We start from the raw sequence: 24527 nt of genomic DNA, 5'->3' as shown, positions 1-24527 counted from the left end.
TTTCCATACATTTTCAACTGGCCTCTGTGGTTATTCCTAGTCACATGTCCAATCCCCATTCCCTGCTACCATTCATTCTCTCTCATGACTTCAGTCCATCCCAGATGACTCCCAACTTTATGCACAGCCCAGATCTCCCCTCCGATCATCAGATCTATTGATCTAACTTCACTTGTATGTACTCCAACCCTTAAATTCAGCATGTCAACAACTAAACCATGATCTTTCTTTCAAAATCTGCCCTTCCCACAATAGGTCTGGCTCAGGAACAAGGATGGTCATCCATATGGTTTCCAAAGCCAGAAATCCAAGCATTGTCCCCTTCTCTTCCTATCTTAGTCATTCTCCAAGTTCAATGCAGTCTACCTCCCTAAATACCTCTTACATCCATTCACTTCTCTCCATCTCTACTACTATGATACTATTCCAAGCCACCACCCTCTTGCTCCTGGACCACTTGCAATAGCCTTCTAACAGATCCACTCCTGCCCCCTCAAATCACCTGCTCATATAGGATCTGAACGTGATCTTTTAAGAACCCAAACATTATTATGTCCCTTCTCTGCTTAAGCTCTTCAGTGGCTCTGCACCACTACACTGGCCCCTGCCTCCACCTCCAGCCTCACTTCAACCCAGCCACACTGGCCTTCTGTTGCTCTCCCAAGAGGAGGGCTCCTGCCCCACCTCTGCTTTAGGAGCTATCCCTTCCCCCTCTTGCTTTACCTTCACCTGGCTCATGCCTACTCATTCTTCAGGTAAAGGACTTCCCTAAGAAAGTCCAGACTACACCAGGTCTCCCTATTATATACTCCCACCGTATTTGCACATTTTCTTATGAATACTTATCACAGTTTTAATTAACAGTGGGATTACATATTTAATATCTACCAGCCCCATTAGACTGCAAGGTGCCTGGGAGCAGGGACCACATCTGTCCTATTCAAAGCTCTATTTCTCAGTGCCCAGTACATTCCTGGCACAAAATAGGTGTTCAAATATCTGTTGAGTGAATGAATGCAACAGGTTTTACTGCTCCTTCTCACCCTATTTCCACCTCTGAAAATTCAGGATTTTAGAAGGCAAAAAGTTGCTACGGTCTGTGAATCTGATAATAATTCTGTCCTGCCTGTTTTATCCTGCTGCCTACCACATAATTGACACATCCTTCCTGTTTAATAGCCATATCCTATAAGGGAAGTACCTAAAAATCTGTTGTTTGCAGCTTACCCACTTAAAACAGATCTACTAGCTAATTCCCAACTCACCTGCCAAAAGGAAAAGAAATAGAACAATAAAAAGATAGCCTAGTAGAGGAAAGGCATAGAAGTGTCAAGTGCTGACACCCCTGCCTTTTGCCTACTGTGTTCAAAGAACTTCCTCATTCACAAATTCATTACAGAAAGACAGAGTTTCAGTTCCAGAATTCTGCAGCTCTTACGATCTGGGAATGTCATTTCTAACAATGGATGTAGGGTAAGCAAAATCCACTTTAATAAAGGATTTCAGGTATCTGATGTCTTTCTGGATCTTGATTTTGCCCTTGATTGTGCCAACAGGACTACAGGGTTAAATCCACAAAACTAAATAATCAATAAAGGATGGGTCAGGGTACTGATGAGGCAGACCTTATATGAGGTATACAAATCACCATATATTATTTTAGTGGCAATGAATAAAAAATCTCAAACATAAGGCAGCCCATCTTCTAAAGCCAGGGCATATAGAAAGGGCATGCTCAAGGGAGCAAAGCTATTTTTAAAAATAGAGAATATTTTCTTTCTCGAAGCTCAGGTAAATGAGATCAGCTAGTGTTTCACTCAGGGAACACAGAAACATCACTGATTTACTAAAATAACTCCATTCAGCACTTTGACAAATGTCTCAAAGTTTCAAGATAAACTGAAAGTTCAGGCAGAGCTTTTTAAGCCAAACCCAGTCTTCACAACAGGAGGAAGTGAAACGTTGACGGGTTTAGTCATAAACACTGCTGCTGCTACACCTTTTAATGTAGAAATTAGCAACCCAGGATCTCTGCACAGCTGTGCCTCCTCCGCCGTGCCTCAGTGGGAACCAACAAACAAAAAGTGACTCCTCTGTCTTTACTGCTACAGATCCCTTTCCAAGCTTTCCTTTCCCCTGCACTTTGCCAGAAACAGGCCGGGTGCCCCAGTTTGGCATTAACCACTTCCTAGTGTGAAGCAGGGAACACTGCACCTCTATTTTTTTTTTTTTTTTTAAGACGAAGTCTCACTCTGTCACCCAGGCTGGAGTGCAGTGGTAAGATCTCGGCTCGCTGCAACCTCTGCCTCCCGGGTTCAAGCGATTCTTGTGAATCAGCCTCCTCAGTAGCTGGGACTACAGGTGTGTGCCACCATGCCTGGCTAATTTTTGTATTTTTAGTAGAGATGGGTTTTACCATGTTGGCCAGGCTGGTCTCAAACTCCCGACCTCAGGTGATCCGCCCACCTCATCCTCCCAAAGTGCTGGGATTATAGGCATGAGCCACCGCGCCCAGCCTCTATTATGTTTAAAGCTCATCACCTCCCCTCCCAAGGCAGCAAACTCCAGGTGGGTCCTTCATCCACTGTCCCTACCCCGTTCAAACAAACATATACCCAAAGCAGCCCTGCTGCAAAACCCATAAGATCCCTTCTTGCCTCCATTGAGAATGCTGGCATGGTGACAAAGGACTGGCCAGCCAGCAAAGGGACCAGCCAACATGGGAAGCCCCAACTTCCCTCTCTCAGAAGCTGTCCACAGACAACTCCCTGAAGCCCTGGTTCAAACTCCCTTCTATGTGGCTCCTCAAGTGCAGGCAGGAGAGAAATGGAGGCCCCTTGTTGAGCCAGGCAGAAAGCAGAGCCTAAAACCAGAGTAATCTTAGAAGTGGAGGGGAGGCAGGGTTACACCAGAGGATGTGTCTTCCTGACTCTCTATCTCTTGCTAAAATGAATTTCAATTAGATTAGCACTCTTTGTTTACAAACACTGTCATTAAATATTTGAGTAATTCTTTCAACCAATAATTACTGACTGCCTACCTTGTGGTAGGCACCAAGGATAAAAAGACATAAAGCTCTGCCTTCAAGCAGCTTATATTTCATTCAAAGGAGATTATACAGGAATAAATAAGTAAAACATATGGCATATCTATGGTGATAAGTGCTATGGAGAAAAATGTAGTACAAAAAGAGAATAGAGCGTGCTTAATGCCTGGGGGTTATGGAGAGGAGTGGTGGGTTAGGTGGGTGGCATTTTTAAATAGCTTGGTGTGACGTAATTATGAAGTGAGGTTGAGAAAGATCTAAAGGCAGTAAGAGAAAGAACCATATGGCTATCTGGGATAAGCATGGTCCAGACAGAGGGAATAGCAAACGCAAAGGCCCTGAGGCAAGAATATGCCTGCAGCAATTGAAAAATAAAGAAGAGCCTTGGCTTGAAGGGAGTAAGCGCAGGGGAGGTCAGAGGGGTGATAAGGTGGGGGTGAGGTGAGCCAGGAGGTCTGTGAGGCTTTATTGGCTGTTGTCCACACTGTTCTGACTGATAATTGCCCTGAAGGCCAATCTCTGACTGCCATGTTGGGTGAGAGAAGGAGAGTGGAAGCAGGGAGCTCAGGCAGGGGCCAACGGCAATAGCTTGTGAGAGATGGTGATGGTTAAGCCACAGAGGTTAGCAGGAGTGCTGAGAGGTGGTCAGACCAGATATACACTGATGATGGAGCCCATTGGTTTTGCTGAGGAAGTGAAATTGGAATATAAGAGAAAACTAGTTATTTTGCTAAGGTAACAGTTTGGTTTACACCCATGAAATAATTACATAGCAATTCAATTTAAGTGACTCCTGGATTGGTCTAGGTACTGTGTTACCTAGATGAAGTTTTTTGTTTTGTTTTTAAAAAAAAAAAAAAAAAACTCTTTATGGAAGAAATGCAACTTGAGAGGAAACAGCTGGTTCCAGAATTTTCCAAGTGTTATTCTGAAGATTATCAAATTATGTTTGTCCTCAGTAGGGGAAAAAATGATCTTCTGGAGTTGTGCTTTCCTGCTCAACCACCACCTTCATGCTCTAATAATTTCAAATGTATATTGTAAATATAATACCTATAATATATAACCTGAGATTCTATTTAAATTCTAAAACACAATTTTGGGAAAAGGGAGAATGGGAATATCCTTTCACCTTTTCTCTGTTCCCCTAGAATAGTGTTCTCTCACAGAACTTTCTGGAAATGTTCTGTATCTGCACATTCAGATACAGGAGCCACCAGCCACGATGTAGCTACTAAGCACTCGAAGTGTGACTAGTGTGACTAAATTTTTTATTTAATTTAAATTAATATAGCAATTATGGCTAGTGGCTATCATACTGGACCATACAGCTCTAGAAGAAGAAAAAATCACTACACAGTAAAACATTCATGAATCAGACATTACACTTTACTCTTAAAATTGAATTATAAAGTAAGTACAAAATAGATTGGCAAAATCAGAAAGCACATGTTCTTCTTTTTTATTATGCCCTAGAGTTACCTAATTCTCCTATTCCCTACATATATTCTTTGAAAAGAAACAGTAGCTGGCTTGGTCTTAGCAGTTTTTAAACACATTTTCTTGGTTTTTGCATGCAATTCCAATATCTTACAGGCCGTCATTCTAACACTGTCATTCAAAATGGGATTTTCTTCCTTGACGCGTATTCAACGCTAACATTCTAAATGTCACATAAAAATAAAGATAGAAGAGTCTTATTATAATTGAACAATCTTCCTGCTTTAAGTTCAAAGCACTCTCTGACATCAGTTATCTCTTTTTTTTTTCCTCCCAAGATCACCATGAATGAAAGGGCTGGTATTAGTTTAACCATTTTTTAGTTGAGGAAATCAAGGCAGAAAAAGATTAATGACAGTCAATTTCACAGTGTAAATATATAGCTTAGTCAGAAAAGAAGAGAAATTAGGAAGGCATAAAAAGGGAAATTAATTGAAAATGAAAAAAAAAAAAAACTACACGCAAATCCTTGGTTGTCAAATTCAGTAGGCTGAGAGCCAGGTCTGAGAAATGCGGACTGATTAATAGAGTTGGTGGCATTGTCTGTCCTTCCGGCCCTCTGTCTCAGACCTTCCACATGTCCCAACAACGTCCCTGAGATCTGGCAAGTTGCTGGCTACACAATTGGAAGGTGAAGAGGATAAGGTGGTTTAGTTAGGATCGATTAGTGAGGTGGCTGTCAGTATAATGGGGTTCATTTATTCATCAGCAAACCCTACCAGATTCAAATGACAGGGCAACATTTGTGAATAATCTCCTAACCCGACAGCTGGCGAATGAGCTTCCATTAATCTTGCTTTGAAACACTCAGGCTAACCCTAGTTATATCACTGAATTGCATGACCCAAGAGATTAATAAGGCAATTCAATGAGTTTAGAGTTGATCCTTGAATTCATCAGTTAAATTCCTTCTTTGAGAATGAGGAAACTGAGTCCCAGGAAAACTGTGACACTTGCATAAGAACACAATTTTATTCACTTTACAAGCAAGCGAGCTTGAGTTCCTGTGTCTTGTATAAGCAAACATAGGAGCTGACTATCCTTGCTTTTTACTCCAATATATATACACACACAATGTCATATACACATTTTATATGTGTATCTATAAACACACACATTTTGTGTGTGTATGTATATATACATATACATTTTGTGTGTGTGTGTTTGTGTATAAAATGTTTCTTCTGGGGGGGAATATTAAAATTAGCAATTGCATCCCTGCAACATTATTAATTAAGAGCTGAGACATAACAATGTTATAAAAGCAAAGGTGAAACAAATGTGAACCGTTAAAATAATTCAAAACTGTATAAATGTTATTAGTTCCTGTGAAATAAGCATAAATATACTAAATATATTATATATGGAGATAAAAGTACCATACAATATGCAGGAAAACCCTAAAACTAGAACTATATCATAAATCTAAACTAAAGTAAGTATGTTAGCTATTTAATAATAAAAATATATTCTTTTGCTTCTTGGAATTTAGAAAAATTTCTTAAGGATGGCTTGGTTAGCCTGGTCTTCTCAATGAGTCTGGGCAAGTCTGAATTGATGGTTCCTCTTAGTGAGAGGAGACTCAAACAATAGGCAGAGGCTTTATATATGTTTCATGATGACACTGAAGATTCTAGGAACAATTGGTTTTTGAAGTGCTAACATAGAGAAAGGCAGACTTTCCTCTGCTATCAGTTACCTTCCCTAAGAAGGTTGCCAGCTGTGTGACATCACTTGGGTAATCATTCTGATGGCCATTATTAGAGAAAAACCCATTTCCTTCTAAAATGACTTTGTTTTAGTTCCCCAAGTTATAAGTTTTTAAAGGAGCTTTGGGATATGAATTCAAAAAATTCCCAGTCTTAATTCTGAACATTTTTTTGGCCATTACCATGAAGCACAGCTGGTGGGGGGATGGATATAATCTATTTCTCATCTATAGAGCATTTTACAACAAAAGGTGACAATAAAAATTCCATCATTATGCTTAAAAAGTCCCTCTGATTCCCTGGGAAACTCATGGAAGGAAGACTGATTCTAATTCTTCCAAATCATGCAGGAAGGAAAAGCATCCAGGAAGATGCACATTCATCTAAAGCACTGAAGATAAAGCAGTCAGAATGGGCACAGGCAGAACCAGGCGCTGGGTGTGGACTTTCTTTATAGGCCTTATCCCTTTTCCCTGAAAATGCCAAGTGGGTGCACCATGGATCGTGCTAGGTTAGCATGATTTACATGGAGATTTTAAGGTAAAGATAGAGAACTAAAGACAGAAAGGAATTGAGGCTAAGGACAGAAATGGAAGCTGCACAGATGTACTGCATGGATTCTATGAGTCAGACAATACCTACAGATATAATTGTAAGGTGAATGGTACAGCGCTTCTCAAGACAGACACGCCTGGACCAGCTCCACCATTTACTAGCTGTGTGATTTGGAGCGAATTATCAGATCCCCTACACCTCACCCTTGGCTGTAAAAACACATAATGTAGTATCTACCTCCTATAAGTGTCGTGAAGATTAAATAAGAGGATGTATATAAAACTTTTTAGCACACAGCCTAGCTAACAACAGCTCAAAAGATACTAGTTATCTAATGAGAATTAAAATAACAGTCATAGTTCAACCAGTAATAACAGCTCTCTGAAAGGCCGAGCTAAATATTTTTTAATTCCCTTAACATATCAGTAAAGCAACTGAAATTGGAAATAAAATTTCCTCCAGGCATAATTTGATTTACACGTTCTCTAGGGATTACATGAAGGCCCCACACAGAACAGGTTCTATCCAAATCACCCCTCCACATTCATTAGCATCATTTTTTAGTTAAATAAGTTAAACAAAACTTATATTTTTCACTTCTTAGAAGTCAGCCTGTTATATTTTCTGAATGCCTTAAGGCTTAGTTTGATATGTGGTTTCAATGCCTCTGACATTTTTGCCAGATTTGACCAATTTGCAACCATTCCCTGAAATCTGCCTCATATCCAGTCACCAAACATAAACCATCCACGATACACTTAGAACATTCGGGTCTCCTATTAGCTTCCCCAGTCAAAGAGACCATGGCTGTTGAGGGTCTTCTCTAATGCAAGGGTTGCATCCTCACCTGGGCAGGTAGACAACCACATTCTGGCAGAGCCAGACAATGGCAAGTCCAGAATCCTGAGCAGAAACACTTGGAACGACTGTCATAGTAGCCGTGCAGCCCCTACCATCTGTATTACACCTGCAAAACCAGGGGCCTAAGGCCTTTTTCTAGCCACAAAAGGCTGTGCATCCTGGATCGCTTACATAAGTATCAAAAAGTATCCTTCCAGAGGCCTTCTCTCCACACACTAGTTCATAATAGCTCTTCCTTTTTTGAACCATCTGTGAGCGGGGAAGAAAAGGGGGGTGTTTTTGAAAACTGCTGTAAACCAGAAGTGGCAAGGCACTTACCTTATCACGTTTAACTCCATGAGGAAGGTACCATGATTCTCTTGTTATAGACAAGGAAACCAAGACTCAAAGAGGTTTATAACAATTTAACTTGTCCCAACAACATTGATAAGAGTTAGAATTTGAACCCTCAATTATCAGCTTCAAAAGCCACATTCCCTGCAGCACCCCATGAGGTGAGCCTCTCCTTGCTAATGCTTCTCATCAATACCCCAGACCAGCTCTTGGGGCTCATATCCTTGGTTACATTATTTACTCATAAAAGTCTTCGCATGGGGAGCAATAATTTGCATGATTCTGGAAGGGCTTGTTCATGTCACACTTCACACAGCACAGTGTCTGGTATAAAGCAGATAGTCGTCTGATCTAAATCTTCTATTCCCATAGCCAGCACATAGCTAGCCTGTGTCGTCTGCATATGATTATCACATAAACAGGACTTGCTAACACCAAGCTTTGGAAAACAAACTTCTTCCCACCCACTAACAGGCTAGTTGGTAATTAAAACCCACATTGATTTATCACCGTAAGCACTTTACACAAGAAACAGATTAACTAGAATTAAGGACACTCATGACAAACCTGTATGTGAAACCTTTGGGGGACAAGAGAAATATCCATTACTTTAATATACTTGCTGATTTCTCTATTTGTGAGTTTTCATGACTGATGATGTTCCTTTGCCACTGGTCATCAAAAAGGCTTATCATAGTTGTGAATTCTGAATACAAACAAATGAATTATCCCTAGTTGAGAGCTCTTGGTGGAAGAGGTCCTAGTCATGACATCACTAGGTCTTACTATAGGAAGTAAAAAATTCCACCCATACCAGAAAAATATAAAATTACCTTGTTCATTAATTTTTAAATAGTTCTTTACCCAGTTGTTCCTCTTTTGCAGTAACCCAACATTCAGAGATATGGCTCCTTTTCTAATTCTTTAGAAAATGTAATCTTTTCCCCTCTAATATTCTTAAATCCTCCAAATTTGCATTAAATAACATCAATATTAAATGATAATCCAGAAAAGATGTCAGTATCTTCCCTCACTGCATGCACATGCACACACAGACACAGAAAGCATGTGCTATTTGAATGAAAATAAACCTAAATGTATTTTAAATCTATGTATATGTTAAAAAGCTTATTTGCCCAATTTAGGTGTCTAAAATTAAGATTTCACGTTTCATGTATTCCCCGAGAAAATTAAGCTGAGTGATGGAATACCTAGGAGTCCATTAGTGGAAAAGAGATGATGTCCCAAGGAAGAAACTATACTAGAGTTAATCCAGACACCACCATCCTTTATCCAGATAATAGCATTTCTCTAAGCAGCCCAGTGAATACCATGCTATTCACTTGACTGAAAACCCTCATGTGTCAAATAATGGCCTCTTCACAGGCACTGTGATAGCAGATTCCTTAGATAACCAGTGGCAAAAGTGCATGTAAAAACACCCTTTGTTTGGCAGCTACGGCCACAACTTTCATTGCTTACCCTCTACCCCTTCAGACTCCCTATCTGCCCCACCCTATGCACCAGATGTCCCCATTCCTATTGACTGCTTGTCCCTCATGCTCTACTTGCTGCCATTTACCAAAACCATCAAGAATTTTATTCTGACCACCTGCTTGAAGATGCCCTCTTGAAAGGGGATTTGGACCACAATTAGCCCAACAGCCTGCAAGGCCCCCTTGGCAGACACCAGCACTTCCGCTTGTATGAGGGCTTAACCAAGAAGGACTTGCTTTTGTGGAGTTGGGGAAATAAAGGGTTTTTTTGGGGGAAAAGAAGTTCAAATGACTGAGCTAGAAAGAACCTTAAGAATGCTTAATTCTTTGCAGCACTTAGCTGTAAATATGCCTGCAAACCTTTTCTGGAGTTTTAGCCCCCTGAGGGCAGGACAGTGTCTCATGATCTTCATCTTGGTATCCCCCCTCAATAAGTGTTTGCTGAATGACAACCTCCTCCTTGATGCCGCTCTCATGAGCTAGGTTGTACATGAAAATTGTTAATCAGCTGGGGACTAGATGGCTTAAAATAAATGGCCCCATGTGTTACAGAAGACACTGGACCGGCAATCAGAAGACAGGTTCTCATCCCTACTCTGCCATTAAATAGCCATTTAATGTTGGGTGAGCCCCTTGTCCTCTCTGAGCCCATTTCCGCATCTCTGCATGGAGTGAAAAATGCCCATCTCTAAGGACGCTGTGACTCCATTATTATTCCGTGGCAGTTTTAGAAGTAGAAAAGTGTACTTTTCTACTGACAGCAAAGGTTGTTAATACAAAAAAATAAACAAAGTTACCATGAGTTAGTGAAACTACCTTAAGATTAAAACGGCCAGGCATGGTGGCCCACGCCTGTAATCCCAGCACTTTGGGAGGCCGAGGCGGGCAGATCACTTGAGGTCAGCAGTTCGAGACCAGCCTGGCCAACATGGTGAAACCCCGTCTCTACTAAAAATACAAAAATTAGCTGGGCGTGGTGGTGGGTGCCTGTAATCCCAGCTACTCGGGAGGCTGAGACAGGAGAATCGCTTGAACCCAGAAGCCAGAGGTTGCAGTGAGCCGAGATCATGCCACTGCACTCCAGCCTGGGTGACAAGAGCAAAACTCCATCTCAGAAAAAAAAAAAAAGGAAAAAAAAAAATTAAAACATGATATTTATTTTCCCAGGATGGTTTTGCTTCTGGTGAAGGTCTCTTTCAGCTCTGTAATTCTGTGACCCAGTGAGAAATTTTGAAAGCAATGTTATAATTCTACTATTAAATTTAGATGTATTTATAATGTTGTGGCTTATAAAATGAAGTAGACAGTCTTAAAAAAAAAAAGCAGAATAATTTTAAATTTTCCTGAAAAGAAATGGGGCAAGCCCTCCAGGTAGTGCTGTCAAAATAAACCTGCTCAGCTTTTTCACAGGGAATCCGCATACCCTGAAGGGGATGAATCTCATATAAGGAAAAGCTTGAGTGCCACCCTTCAGTGGCAGTAGAGAAATAACCACAGGGCAGAAAAGACTGGGAGGAGGGCAAGGCACAGAAACTGTACGCAAGATCTGTGACATATGGAAGTCACAAGGACCCGCATGATCCTAGGAGCCATCCAAGTGGACAAGTCAACACACAACAGCATGAACAACAGGCTTCATTCCCCGGCTGGAAACCACCTTTCCACTTGCTTATGTCTTACCTCAATAGGAAGACAAACGCAATTTTCTCATTTCCTCCATCCTCTATGTAAAATTATCATTTATAACAGCAACTTTTGAGGAATGCTAAGAGTGACTTGCAAATGCTTAGGCAGATCACTGATTCAAAAAGCGAGCAATACTATATGAGCAATCATTAAAGAAGGTCCCAAAATGTAACTTATGTATAACAAAAAGACTTTTAAAATTGATGTTACTTTTAAATTTTGTAACAAGAAAAATAAGTGAAAACAAAACGGTCATTATCTCTATTTCTGCCAGAAGATGCATTGTTCAGTTAACAATCTTATTCAGAGATATTGATCAAGGAATGGCCGCAATGAGGGTCAATTAAAAATAGTTTCTTTTAACTTGAATTTTTAATTTGAAAAGATTTGCATAGTCCAAAGAAGATAATGCTGCTATTGGAGCAAGATGTTTCTAAATTTTCAGCGGTGTCAATCATTTATAACAGAAGATGCCTTATTTACTCTGTCACTCAACCAATGTTGACTAATGATGTCACAGCAGTCACTTGTTTCTGTATCCTGTACGTCCTCTCCAGGATGTTTCTCCTTGCACCGCCGTCCCGACAATGCATATTCTTAACAGCGCATGGGCTTGGGGACAGCAACGCACAGAAATATGTCCATGCTTACAATGATGTAAGCCAATTCAGCGAGCTCCTAGTCCCCAGTAGGGTTTTAATTTTCATTTTTTTGTGACTTGCTGGTAAATTTAGACAAAATCATGGAGAGAAATAAAGGGAAAAAACTTGAAGGGACAATATTTTTTAAAGTGCCTTGTGAAATGTAATTAGATACACCTTACCATAAATAGTCTAAGAGTTACCATTAATCGGAATATATTTTAAGGTTTCCTGGGTGTATTTCTCCCCAAATTATTTTTCTCTGCTAAGGCAAAAGGAAATAAGTAACATATTTACTTATAAACAGTAAGACATTTCCAAATAGGTAGTACTCATTTGCTGGAATAATTAATCTTCTCACAGAAACCCCAAAATAGTAACTGTTAATGTATAAATGTTTCTTTTAAGTACAATTAGGTAACTCTCCTTTACTGAAACCCTTGATTTCTAACAATTTCAGTACGGTTATTTATATTAAAACATCAATCCAACAACTCATAGTGGCTCTGTCCATTAGACTGGCTTGAGAGGAGAGACCCTGACTTAACCACTTGCACAAACCCAACACTTGGTACAATTGCCACACAGTAGTCATTAAACCAACCTGAATCACAAAGAGCTGCAGTAGTTATTTTTCCTATTCCTAAATGGTGTCTTACTTCTTTTTTCACTGATTTTACAGATTAAAAGCAAGCAAACAAACAAGGCTTACTCAAGTGTTTACCAGATTTCTGACTTAGCCCCTCAGGAACTGTGTAATATTGGGTAGATGATTTAACCTCTCTGTGTCTCAGTTTCCTCTTCTGTAAAACAGAAATTAATTTTAGCACTTTAGCACTTGTCTTCTAGCGTTGTTAGAAGACTGAATGAGTTAATAGTGTGCTGCTTTGTGCTGGCTACTGTGTCATCATAACCATCACTATCACTGCCAAGAAGATGAACAAAATCATAGCGGGAAGGGCTCCATTTCCCAGGGAAAATAACTATCATGCATCTTTCTCTGTAAATACAAGTTTGTAAACACTGGCTAATGACAGAGGGATGGAGAGATATGTGATAAAGCAAGTAAAATGTAAATGGTAGAAACTAAGTGGTGGTATGTGGGTGCTCACTTAACACTCTTTCAACTTATCTGTATGTTAGAAAAATTTCATAAGAAAATGGCAAAAGAATCACATAAGGCAGAAATAGGTGAAAAAGAAAAGGGAACTTAGCGTGGAAGATCAGCCACACTACCTCCCCAAGAACGTATTATTCATCAATAACAATAGCAACAACAATCATGATCTTTCTTTTCTTTTTTCTTTAAGAGATGGGGTTTCACTCTGTTGCCCAGGCTAGAGTGTGTGGTGCAATCAGAGCTCACTGCAGCCTCCAACTCCTGGGTTCAAGCGATCCTCCTGCCTCAGCCTCTCAAGTAGCTAGGACTACAGCTAATTAAAAAAAAAAAAAAATTGTAGAGCAGGTCTTGTTATGTTGCCAAAAATGGTCTCAAACTCCTGGCTTCAAGTGATCATCCCGCCTCAGCCTCCCAAAATGCTGGGAGTACAGGCATGAGCCACCATGCCCTACCTAAAAACTTAACCATGATTTTTTTTTTTTTTTTTTGAGATGGAGTTTCATTCTTGTTGCCCAGGCTGAAGTACAATGGCGTGATCTCGGCTCACTGCAAACTCTGCCTCCCAGATTCAAGCAATTCTCCTGCCTCAGCCTCCCAAGTAGCTGGGATTACAGGTGTGTGTCACCATGCCCAGCTAATTTTGTATTTTTAGTAGAGATGGGGTTTCTCCATGTTGGTCAGGCTCGTCTTGAACTCCCGACCTCAAGTGATCTGCCTGCCTCGACCTCCCAAAGTGCTGGGATTACAGGTGTGAGCCACCACGCCTGGCCTAACCATGATCTTTATAGAAATCTCACCTATAATTTTATTTATAAGTCTTACAACAATCCTATAAGGAAGCTACTCCAAGTATCATTGCTATTTCAGAAATTCAAAAACAAGAATAGAATGAAAGACCTACTGAGGATCATGCAATTCGTAAGTTATTGTGGAGATCTGAACAGAGTTCTACTGCATCCTTCCCACCGCCAGAATAATTAAATCACTCATTTCATGCCTCTCACCATGAAAGAAACCACTCTCTTCTTCAACACTGTGACCCTAGTGCCATAGTTAGTAACATATAACAGGCACACAAAGATTACTCAATGGATGGAATGAAGGGAGGGAAAAAAGGAGGGAGGAAGATCAGGAACACTGTTGTTTTTTTTTTCCCATCCACTAGACCTAAACTCTACCCAATCCAGTAATTATAAAGAGGGGTATTGCTTTTAATTAAATTTTATTAAAATGGCATAATAGTTTCTGATTATAAAAATAACACATTTATTACAGACAACTACATTTCCTCTTACCAAAGAAAACTAAATCAATATATTTCCTACACGTGGATACTGGTAGCCATTTTTTGCCTCAAGAAAGACTTATTCAGATTTTCCAAATGTATCTAGCATGACATCCATTCACATGAAAGGCGAAATGTTCAGTTACACAGATCTGAGCCATCCCCTGGAGTCAGTCCAGGAAGAAGCAAGCAGGGTGCTGAGCAGTTTGCAAACATGTCACATAAGGAAAAGCTGAAGGAAGTAGGTCTGCTTATCCTATAGGAGAAAAGACATAAGAATGACAGGAAAACAGACTTCAAATATTGGCAAGGCTGCATATGTCAGAGGGAATAAATGTTTTCCTCTGAGCCAACTGGGAACAATGTATAGAAATTATAGGAAGAAACATTTTTGCTTGATATAAAGAAAATTCCAAGATCAATTTGAAGTTGTGGAAAGAAGTGAACTCTTTTATAAGGCAGGTCTCTCACTATCAAAAACTTTGTCAGGAGTATTATACATACATACAAGGTTAAGCTAGATACCTTCAAAAGTCCTGTCCAACTGCAATAACCTGCAATTCTAGATCCCATATATATCTACGGTTTGTGTATCATATATACCAGGTTAGCAATGTATGTATGGCACAGGTGGCAAACTCTTACCATACCACATGTGATACACACACACACACACACACACACACACACACACACACACACACATGCATATACACACACATGCATACACACAAAAAAACAGCCTAAGATGAATTGCAGATATTTGTAAAACTAAAATTATGTAGTAATAACTAATTTCTAACTCTGTCATTGAGTTTCTCACAGTTTGGAAGAAGAATGTGGCATGCCAGGGACAATTTTTTAGTTCAAGTTGTAATACCCAAAACTGAAAGCCTGCGTGACATAAAAGAATAACTGCTAAACTAGTCCAAACACTTGGTTTGCACTGACTAGCCATGTGACCTTGGACAATCCACCATGCCTCTACAGATGTCAGTGTCCAGCAGAACTTGTATTGCTATGTTCACCACTAGCCATATGCAGTTTTTTTGAGCCCTGGCAATATGGTTAGTGCAACTAAGGAATCTGTAATTTAAATATTGTTTTAATTATATCTCACTGTCATTAATTTATTAAATTCAAACAGCCACATGTGGCTAGTGGCTATCACATTGAACAGTAACTACTGCTGACAAGGCCCCTGAAGAAGAAAGTCAAATTCCAGACCAACCTCAACCCATCATCTTCTGCAAGATCTCGATACCATCTAGACAACTGTGACAGAAGGAAAAGATAAAAAATCTGAGGCTCTATCTCAGAAGGTCCTTAGGGCTCCTGTCAGCTATTGTCTAGCCCATTCATTATCACCACCATATCCTAGGATAGACAGCCCAGTGCCCTTTTATCCTTAAGACTGTCCAGGTTGGGATCAACATCCAAGTATAGCAGTGTAATTATCAACGTTCCCTGGAAAGATGACATGTATAGAAAAATGTCCTATGGAAATGACCCCCACCCAGCCAGCTACCCTATTATAATGACATTAGTGGATTATTAGTGAAATATCTGTGAATAATTAGTGAACATTATTGAAAAATACTATTTCTTGTAGAGTACAAATAGCTATCTTTAAATTAGTTAACTATCTCTTATGAAGGAAACCATTCGGTTTATTTTAGCTTTCAAATCAAATCACGCAACCAACTTTAAAGTTTTTTCACAAGCTTGAAAACACACAAATATTAAAAGCCACAAAGTGGCTGGGCACAGTGGCTCACACCTGTAATTCCAGCACTTTGGGAGGCCAAGGCAGGTGGATCACTTGAGGTCAGCAGTTCAAGACCAGCCTGGCCAACATGGTGAAACCCCATCTCTACTAAAAGTACAAAAATTAGCCAGGCTGATTACAGGTGGTGGTGTTCACGCCTGTAATCCCAGCTACTGGGAAGGCTGAGGCAGGAGAATCACTTGAACCCAGGAGGCAGAGGTGACAATGAGCCGAGATCACACCTCTGCACTCCAGCCTGGGCTGACAGAGCGAGACTGTCGCAAAAAAAATAAAAATTTTTTAAAAGCCAAAAAGTGTGACTTTTTAAAGAGTTGCCTAGGTTGTTTTTAAAACATATATAAAAAATCTAGGCGGGATGCAGTGGCTCATGCTTGTAATCCCACCACTTTGGGAGGCTGAGGCAGGCAGATTGCTTGAGCCCAAAAGTTGGAGACCAGCCTGAGCAACATGACAAATCCCCATCTCTACAAAAAAATATAAAAATAGGCTCGCTTGTTGGCATGTGCCTGTAGTTGTAGCTACTTGGGAGGCTGAGGTGGGAGGATCACTTGAGCCCAAGAGGCAGAGGTTGCAATGAGCCAAGACTGTGCTGCTGTACTCCAACCTGGGTGACAGACTGAGACCCTGTCTCAAAAAAAAAAAAAAAAAAATATATATATATATATATATATATATATGTAAATATATATGTGTACCTATATATGTCTAGAAAAAATTATTTTTAAAAAATTACCAGGTAATGTCAATAATAGCCATATTCCAGAGGCTTAAGAGAAACTTGGCAACAAATTTACTAACATATATTAGCAAAATCAATCATTATAGCACCAAATAATGAGATCTCAAAATAGCACATGTGAAAGGGCAGTGAGCTGCCTAATCACAACTAATTTCAGGAAGAAGTTCATGGTGCATCTAGGAAAGCATTATTATTTTTGCAATACTTCACTTTTGCAATGTTTTAAAATCTGTTTGTTTTTTTAAACTAGGCAATTGCCACCAGAAAAATCTTAAACAGATGATTAGTTCATAATGTATAACAATAGAGTAAAATGCTTCCTAGCACATAGTTCAACACCAGTGGCTAGTCTCACACAGAAAATTTTCCTAGGCAGGAAACTCAGTGTCTCCTGATTCTTCATTCCTAAACTGTATTCTGCTGATATTGCATGCCCTCTTGTAATTATCATGAGTCCTACACATACAGAACAAGACAGACAAAATCTTCATTGCTGCGGCCCACACCAACATTAGCTTGCCTTACCCTGCTTAATTGGCTCTGATCACTGGGCAGAAACAACTCATTGCTTTTTCCTTTTCACATGCTGACTCAAGTATTCCTGGCATCATTAGTCATGTTTCATAGTGTCTAGAATAAAAACAAACTGACATCCAATTCCAGCAATTATTCCATTTTACACTTTGGAGAAAAGAAGTGATCGACACCTTCCAATCTGCCTAAAATCTCAAGCAGCTAACACTTTTGCAAAACAATTTGACTATGCCACATGCCTGTATCCCCAGCTTCTTGGGAGGCTGAGGCAGGAGGATAGCTTGAGTCCAGGAGTTCAAGGGCAGCCTGGGCAACACAGCAAGACCCCCCCAAATCTCAAAAAAGAAAACAATACAATATGACTAAAAGAAGATTTAAAGTTATGCAAAACATATAATAGACAGTGTCATAATTTTTAAACCAATGAGAAGCTGAAAGATTCTTTTGAAGTTTGCTTATAGACTCCAATTAAGAAATAGAAGTCCTCCTCATGTCTTCTCAATTAAAACCATTCCATTTTCTACTGGCAGAGCATCTGTGGATGAGACAAGCACAGTGCCAGGCACTTGGAAATGTTTGGTGAGTACTGAACGTAAAACATGGAAATGTGGGTTTCTCTAGTAGTGGAGGCAGGAAATCCCCATCAGTAAGGAGTAAAAGCTAATTCCCCTTAGGGCAGTCATTCCTACTTTCTTGGTAGTGCCTGTTAAGTAGAGGCCAGGTGTGGTGGCTCATGTCTGTAATCTCAGCACTTTTGGAGGCCGACACAGGAAGATCGCTTGAGGCCATGAATTCAAGACCAGCCTGGGCAACAAAAAGAAGCCTCCCTTTTTTGTTACAAAAAAATTGTAAAAATGTGCTGGGTGTGGTGGTCTGTGCCTATAGTCCCAGCTGCTACACTTTGAGAGGCTGGGGTGAAAGGATTGTTTGAGCCCAGGAGTTGCAGGCTGCAGTGAGCTATGATCATGCCATTGCACTCCAGCCTAGATGACAGAGCAACACCCTGTCTCTTAAAATAAAATAAAATAAAAAAAGGCCAGGTGCGGTGGCTTATGCCTGTAATCCCAGCACTTTGGGAGGCCAAGGCAGGTGGATCACAAGGTCAGGAGTTTGAGACCAGCCTGGCCAACATGGTGAAACCCCGTCTCTACTAAAAATACAGAAAAATTAGCCAGGCATGGTGGCGCCTGCCTGTAATCCCAGCTACTCAGGAGGCTGAGGCAGAATTGCTTGAACCCGGGAGGCGGAGGTTGCAGTGAGCTGAGATCGCTCCACTGCACTCCAGCCTGGGCGACAGAGCGAGACTTCATCTCAAACAAAACAAAACAAAAAAAGTAGAGAAATCCACATCTAAAAGACAAAACATAATAAAACTGTTGTGTGTGCTAAATACCTTCATTTCTATCACCTAATAGTAGCTATTTTAACTAAGGCAGACATCACCAAAAAAAATTAGCCTTTCAATACTCTCCAGCCTTTACTCTACTGTTGTAGAGAGAATAATGATGCCAAATCCAACATAACTTGACATCAAGAAACGCTTCTACATCAAATGAGTTTCAAAACATCCAGAACACCTGCAGACACATTGCAGGTGTAATGCTACAATAGTAACATGGTTCAACAAGGTCTGGAGGCCTCAAACAGTGAGGATTTTTACTTCTACTTGCCTATCTGCTCAAGATCTTTTTCTCTTTTTTTCTTATGAACTGTTTCTCTCATCGTTCTGTTCCTTCCTTTTCTTTCTTCCAACAGATACCCAAAATGACAGAGTCCATTTGCCAACTCACAGCTAGAGGCAAAGAAATCATTACCCACTCGGAAAAGGGGCCCATAGTTGCATCTGGTGATTATTCTCTATTTCATACGATGCTTTCCCTGAGGCCTCAGTCTTCTACTGAAAATATTTTAATTGTAATTATAAAGTCATGACCATCCACATGTATAGCTGGTTTGCTTCAATTAGAAGTCACTGCAACCAAAAAACAAAGCACTTTCAGTTCCTCACACTCATTGTGTTTAATGTTTCCATTGGTTGAATCTCATGAATGGCTCACTGAATTGAAGAAATGCCCCCAAGTAGGAATTCTAAATTCTGCATCTTCAAAAGATGGTCTTCAAAATCACAGAAAGAAAAGCTGCTGAATTGCAGAATATATACTGCTATTGAAAAGGTTATAAATCTTTTAACTTAAAGAAGGGTAGAATTCTTCACTTAGAAAATTCAGAACAACTTATGTTAATGTTTCATTTGTCTTGAACTAGAAACTGTGAGCATAGTGTTCAACAGATTCAGCTATTCACTTATTCATTGACTTTTATATCTCTGCATATGCTCTTCAGCCTATTATCTGGGGAACTATCAAAGAAAAGTTGTGGCCCAAATGCTGGATTTGCCTGTTCCTCAGTTCATAACAAGTATTTCTCAAATGTAGACCTATAACTATAAACACTTTTAACTTTCCTTGAACCAGAGCATTTAAAAATGCATATAGTCTGTACATTAAATGTGTTCTTAGTGAAGTAAAAGGTGACATCATAGAGTGTTATCTAGTCTGTTGTGATTTTTTTTTTTTTTTTTTTGGAGACAGAGTCTCACTCTGTCACCCAGGCTGGAGTGCAATGGTGCGATCTCGGCCTCGCAGGTTCAAACGATTCTCCCGCCTCAGGCTCCTAAGTAGCTGAGATTACAGGCACCGGCCATCATGCCTGGCTAATTTTTGTATTTTTGTGGAGATGGGGTTTCACCATGTTGTTGGCCAGGCTGGTCTTGAACTCCTGACCTCAGGTGATACGCCCACCTCAGCCTCCCAAAGTGCTAGGATTACAGGCATGAGCCACCACAGCCGGCCTCATGATGTCTTGTATTATCTAGTACTATCATGATTTTCACCTATTGCTTGTTACTTTCATGCAAATTCTAATTGACTTTCAAAGTAAAATCAATAAAAATGACCAGTGTTTATATGACATTTACTATGTGCTGGACCTTAGTCTTTGCTTATATTAACTCATTTAACCCTCCTGACAACCCTATGAAGTGGGTACAGTTATTTCTTCAACGTCCTGGGCGGTGTTCGTTTTCATTTTAAAGTTCCTACTCCTAAACCATACTAACAAAGTTCAAGTAGCAAGATATCAGATTACAAACAACAAGCCAGGCATGGTGGCTCAGGCCTGTAATCCCAGCACTTTGGGAGGCTGAGGTAGGTGGATCACTTGAGGTCAGCAGTTTCACCAACATGGTGAAACCCCATCTCTACTAAAAACACAAAAAGTTAGCCAGGTGTGGTGGCAGACACCTGTAATCCCAGCTACCTGGAAGGCTGAGGCAGGAGGATCACTTGAATCTGTGAGGTGGAGGTTGCAGTGAGCCAAGATTGAGCCTCTGCACTCCAGCCTGGGCGACAGAGCAAGATTCCGTCCTCACCACCCACCCCACACACACACAAAGATTATAAACAACAAAATTAATTCCATGTCCTTATATCATACCAAGGTAACTGCTTTGACACTGCAAATAACCAGTGTGATTGGTAAAATAATTAAATGTATTATTAAATGTATTAATTCTTGGGCTATTTGCCCACAGCAAATTTCCAAGGTTAATCCTACCCTTCATTGTGCATGAGGCAAATACACTCGGATGTATCCAGACAGCAAGTTAGCTATGGTTGAGAGAAAGCAAGAACTGCAGGCAAGAACAAGCCCAAAAACAATCTGTAACCTGATTTTGAAAACTAAATATTAATTTCATCACCTTCTTTACCAAATCTTCTAACAAGTAGCAAGTCAGACTGAAGTTTCTCTCTCTTCCTTCCTCTCCATTCTTTGAGGTGCTAATGAGCAGAAAATGAGAGTCTAAGGCTCAGAATAATCTACAGACTGGAATAATGAGTCTTGGAAAAATTCAAGAGCTGAAAGTGAAGCCTTACTAATTTGCACCATGAAAGAGGCCATTTTTTATGTTAGTGCTGACTGATCCAAATCCAAAATAAAAATACCACCAAATCAATATATAACTCTAGAAAACATGTATTCAAAAGTTTGTCATGATCAAAGCGAACACTGTGATTTATTTGGTATCTATTTATCCCAAAAAAGCTACTACTATTTATCTCTTCTGTTTATCTATGTGAAAATAAATTCCAAATGACTATAACAGGGCATGGTCCATAGTAAGTGCTCAATAAATGTTTACTAAATGAAATGCATGAACGAATCATTAGGCCCCTCAGCATTCTCACTTATCTACTCTGTCTCCAGTCCTCACTCCCTGAAAACCACATTGCACAGAGCCACCAGAGGGATTCTTCTAGAACACAAATATAATCATGCCACTCAACTGTTCGAATCCCGTTCATAGACTTCCCCACACCTCACCAGCAAACTGAAGTTCAAACTCTGTCACAGAGCACCTTTGTTACATCTCCAGCCCATTCTCTCACCACTCTTGGCCTTGGATATATGGCAATAATAGTGAAATTCCCCTTGCCTACATGGTGTTCCCTCCTCCCTTCTGTGAACTGGATGCCTTAGATAACGGTTCTCCTGATAAGTTGTACATAACTTTATAGCTGCACTTAGCTCACCACATTACTATCTGTTTTAATGTCCAACTTTCCTCTCTCACCGAATGTGAACTCTGTAAAGAAAGATTATCTTATTAATCATTGTCCCTCCAGCATCTAAAAGAGTACTCAGCACATAATAGGTACTCGATAAATGTTTGCTGGATGCTTGGATAGATGAATGGATGGGCGAAATTAAATAGTGTTACATCTATCCAAAAGGAAATTCACAGGCAACCATGCTTTTGAGGATGATGATGTTAGGCTTGCCGAGAGGAAAAAATAAACAAATTTAAGCGGCTTGAACAAAACACTCTATTATTAGCAATGATTATAGAATTTATAGTCATCAAGTAAGACAGTACCTGCTGGAACTGTCTCTTAATTTCTCAAGGCAGTGAGGCTTGGATATCCCTGAGAACGAGGCAATGAGGTAGAAGCTATATATTTCTGGGTCCTCTGCCCCATAGGTCGCATTCTGAAAGCAAATCTAAAAATAGCAATGTTTGTTAAAAAAACACAAACTGGTGTCCATACAGTGCCATGTGGGCATACACAGCTTCCACTGAGTGGACCAGGGGAGGGGACTGGCTCAGAGCAACCTCAACCATCACCCAACGGACACACGAGTCCAAGGCCACTCTTGTGGTAGAAGAAAAAGCAAATGACACCTGAGTACCTATTGTACACGTGGCTGATACTACAGAAACTACTATATAATTAGAATTTTTGGTTTGTGTCTTAATTGAGGCAGCCACCTTTGACACAGGTGCTGGCTATTGGTGGCCACAGAGGGATCTGAGCATCAACGCTGGCAAAACCAACAAAACGTGCTGTTGCTGCGTGTGAGCTGTGTTGGCAATGGTGCCAGTAATGTCCCACCGTGCTATTCTCCTGTGCCTCAGGCTCTGTCCTCAAATAAAGCATTGAGGCAATTGGGCTTTCTTTCTTGAAAACAAACATTCTGAAATTTCATGTCTTAAAAACCAGCCGGGCGCGGTGGCTCACGCCTGTAATCCCAGCACTTTAGGAGGCCAAGGTGGGCGGAGCGCTTGAGGTCAGGAGTTCGAGACCTGCCTGGCAAACATGTGAAACCCCATGTCTACTAAAAATACAAAAATTACCCGGGGATGGTGGCAAATGCCTGTAATCCCAGCTACTCAGGAGGCTGAGGCAGGGAGAATTGCTTGAACCCAGGAGGTGGAGGTTGCAGTGAGCCAAGATCACACCACTGCACTCTAGCCTGGGCGACAGAGCGAGACTCCACCTCAAAAATTAAATAAATAAATAAATAAAATGTAGATGGGAAGTTTATTATCCTATTCTATTTTTGCATGTATTTAAAAGTTCCCATAATTATTTGTTCTCAAGAAGTTTTGCATAATACAAAGTTTTAAAAATATACAAGCCATAATTTTGTTTTAAAAAATATGAAACATTTCACAAATTTGCATGTCATCCTTCGACAGGGGCCATGTTAATGTCTTTATTGTTCTAGTTTTAGTATATGTACTACCAAAGCAAGAACCACAGTTTTTCTATTTCAAGATATTAATGTCAAGGTAATCAGGACACAAAAAGCAAATCAAGGTTATCAAGATTATCTTACTAAAGGGAAAATACCAAAATACTAATACCAGTAATTTAAACATAGATTTTGTCCAATCTGGCATAAAGTATTTCAATTAATGTCACCAGAAGGACATTACCCTCTTCTCTATGGATTGTTATATGTTTATGGAAATTATTTGTATCTTTAAAATATATTATTTTTGTTTTTCACTTCAAAAAAACTTTAGAATGGCACCATTCTTCCTTCTACATCTATGTACATTTGAAACCTTATAAAGACATTTCTTGGCACCCTCAAAAACCACCATCCGAGCCTACCTTATTCCCAACAACAGACCCACTTTCTCATGCCACTACCCAAGTTAGGGAACAATCTTCTATGTTTTCTGTGACACTGTGACATTTAAATGTCCTCATGGCTCCTGAGGTACCCACTACCAGACTCATCAGAACCTGTCCAATCAAATCACCCCATAGTACTCAACCCAACCCACTCCTCAGGGCCAGAGAAGTCCACATTCTGCCCTCATTTGGACTTCAGAACCTCTCTCTTTCACAGACTGCCCTCCCTCACCCCCATCCAACTCCACTGTGATTTTATGATATAATAAGAAATATAAGGCCAGGCATTGTGGCTCATGCCTGTAATCCCAGCACTTTGGGAGGCCCAGGCAGGCAGATCACTTGTGAGAGGTGAAGCCAGCTGAACTTCCTGGGTCGAGTGGGGACTTGGAGAACTTTTCTGTCTAGGTAGAGAATTGTAAACGCACCAATCAGCGCCCTGTGTCTAGCTAAAGGATTGTAAATGCATCAATCAGCACTCTGTAAAAATGCACCAATGAGCGCCCTGTGTCTTGCCAAAGGATTGTAAATGCACCAATCAGCACTCTGTAAAAACGCACCAATCAGCACTCTGTGTCTAAAGGATTGTAAATGCACCAATCAGCACTCTGTAAAATGTACCAATCAGCAGGACATAGGCGGGGACAAATAAGGGAATAAAAGCTGGCCACCCCCAGCCAACAGCAGCAACCCACTCGGGTCCCCTTCCACACTGTGGAAGCTTTGTTCTTTCGCTCTTCACAATAAA

The 24527-nt window shown here is 40.3% G+C and overlaps 1 protein-coding gene, 1 long non-coding RNA gene and 1 pseudogene across 22 annotated transcripts in view, besides 1 other annotated feature; 1 reads left to right on the top strand and 2 right to left on the bottom strand.

Annotated features, from left to right (window-relative positions):
• The window catches only part of CARMIL1 (capping protein regulator and myosin 1 linker 1), a 341157-nt gene that overhangs the window by 213539 nt on the left and 103091 nt on the right, over positions 1 to 24527 (bottom strand). The gene's annotated exons all lie outside the window — the stretch shown is intronic.
• LOC124901281 (uncharacterized) overlaps positions 1 to 24527 on the top strand; it is a 124485-nt gene that overhangs the window by 45199 nt on the left and 54759 nt on the right. The window lies entirely within an intron of this gene.
• Positions 2035 to 2244: an enhancer, noted in NCBI's record as "active region_24169". NCBI's record gives its function as "activates an Ori minimal core promoter by ATAC-STARR-seq in GM12878 lymphoblastoid cells {active_cell/tissue: GM12878}" and the evidence as "EXISTENCE:reporter gene assay evidence [ECO:0000049][PMID:35858748]".
• Positions 23290 to 23393, bottom strand: RNU6-987P (RNA, U6 small nuclear 987, pseudogene; annotated as a pseudogene).

The sequence above is a fragment of the Homo sapiens genome, chromosome 6 (genome assembly GCF_000001405.40).
Source record: "Homo sapiens chromosome 6, GRCh38.p14 Primary Assembly".
NCBI classification, from domain to species: domain Eukaryota; kingdom Metazoa; phylum Chordata; class Mammalia; order Primates; family Hominidae; genus Homo; species Homo sapiens.
Note: the sequence above shows the minus strand (reverse complement) of the source record. Positions and strands in the feature narration are given on the sequence as shown.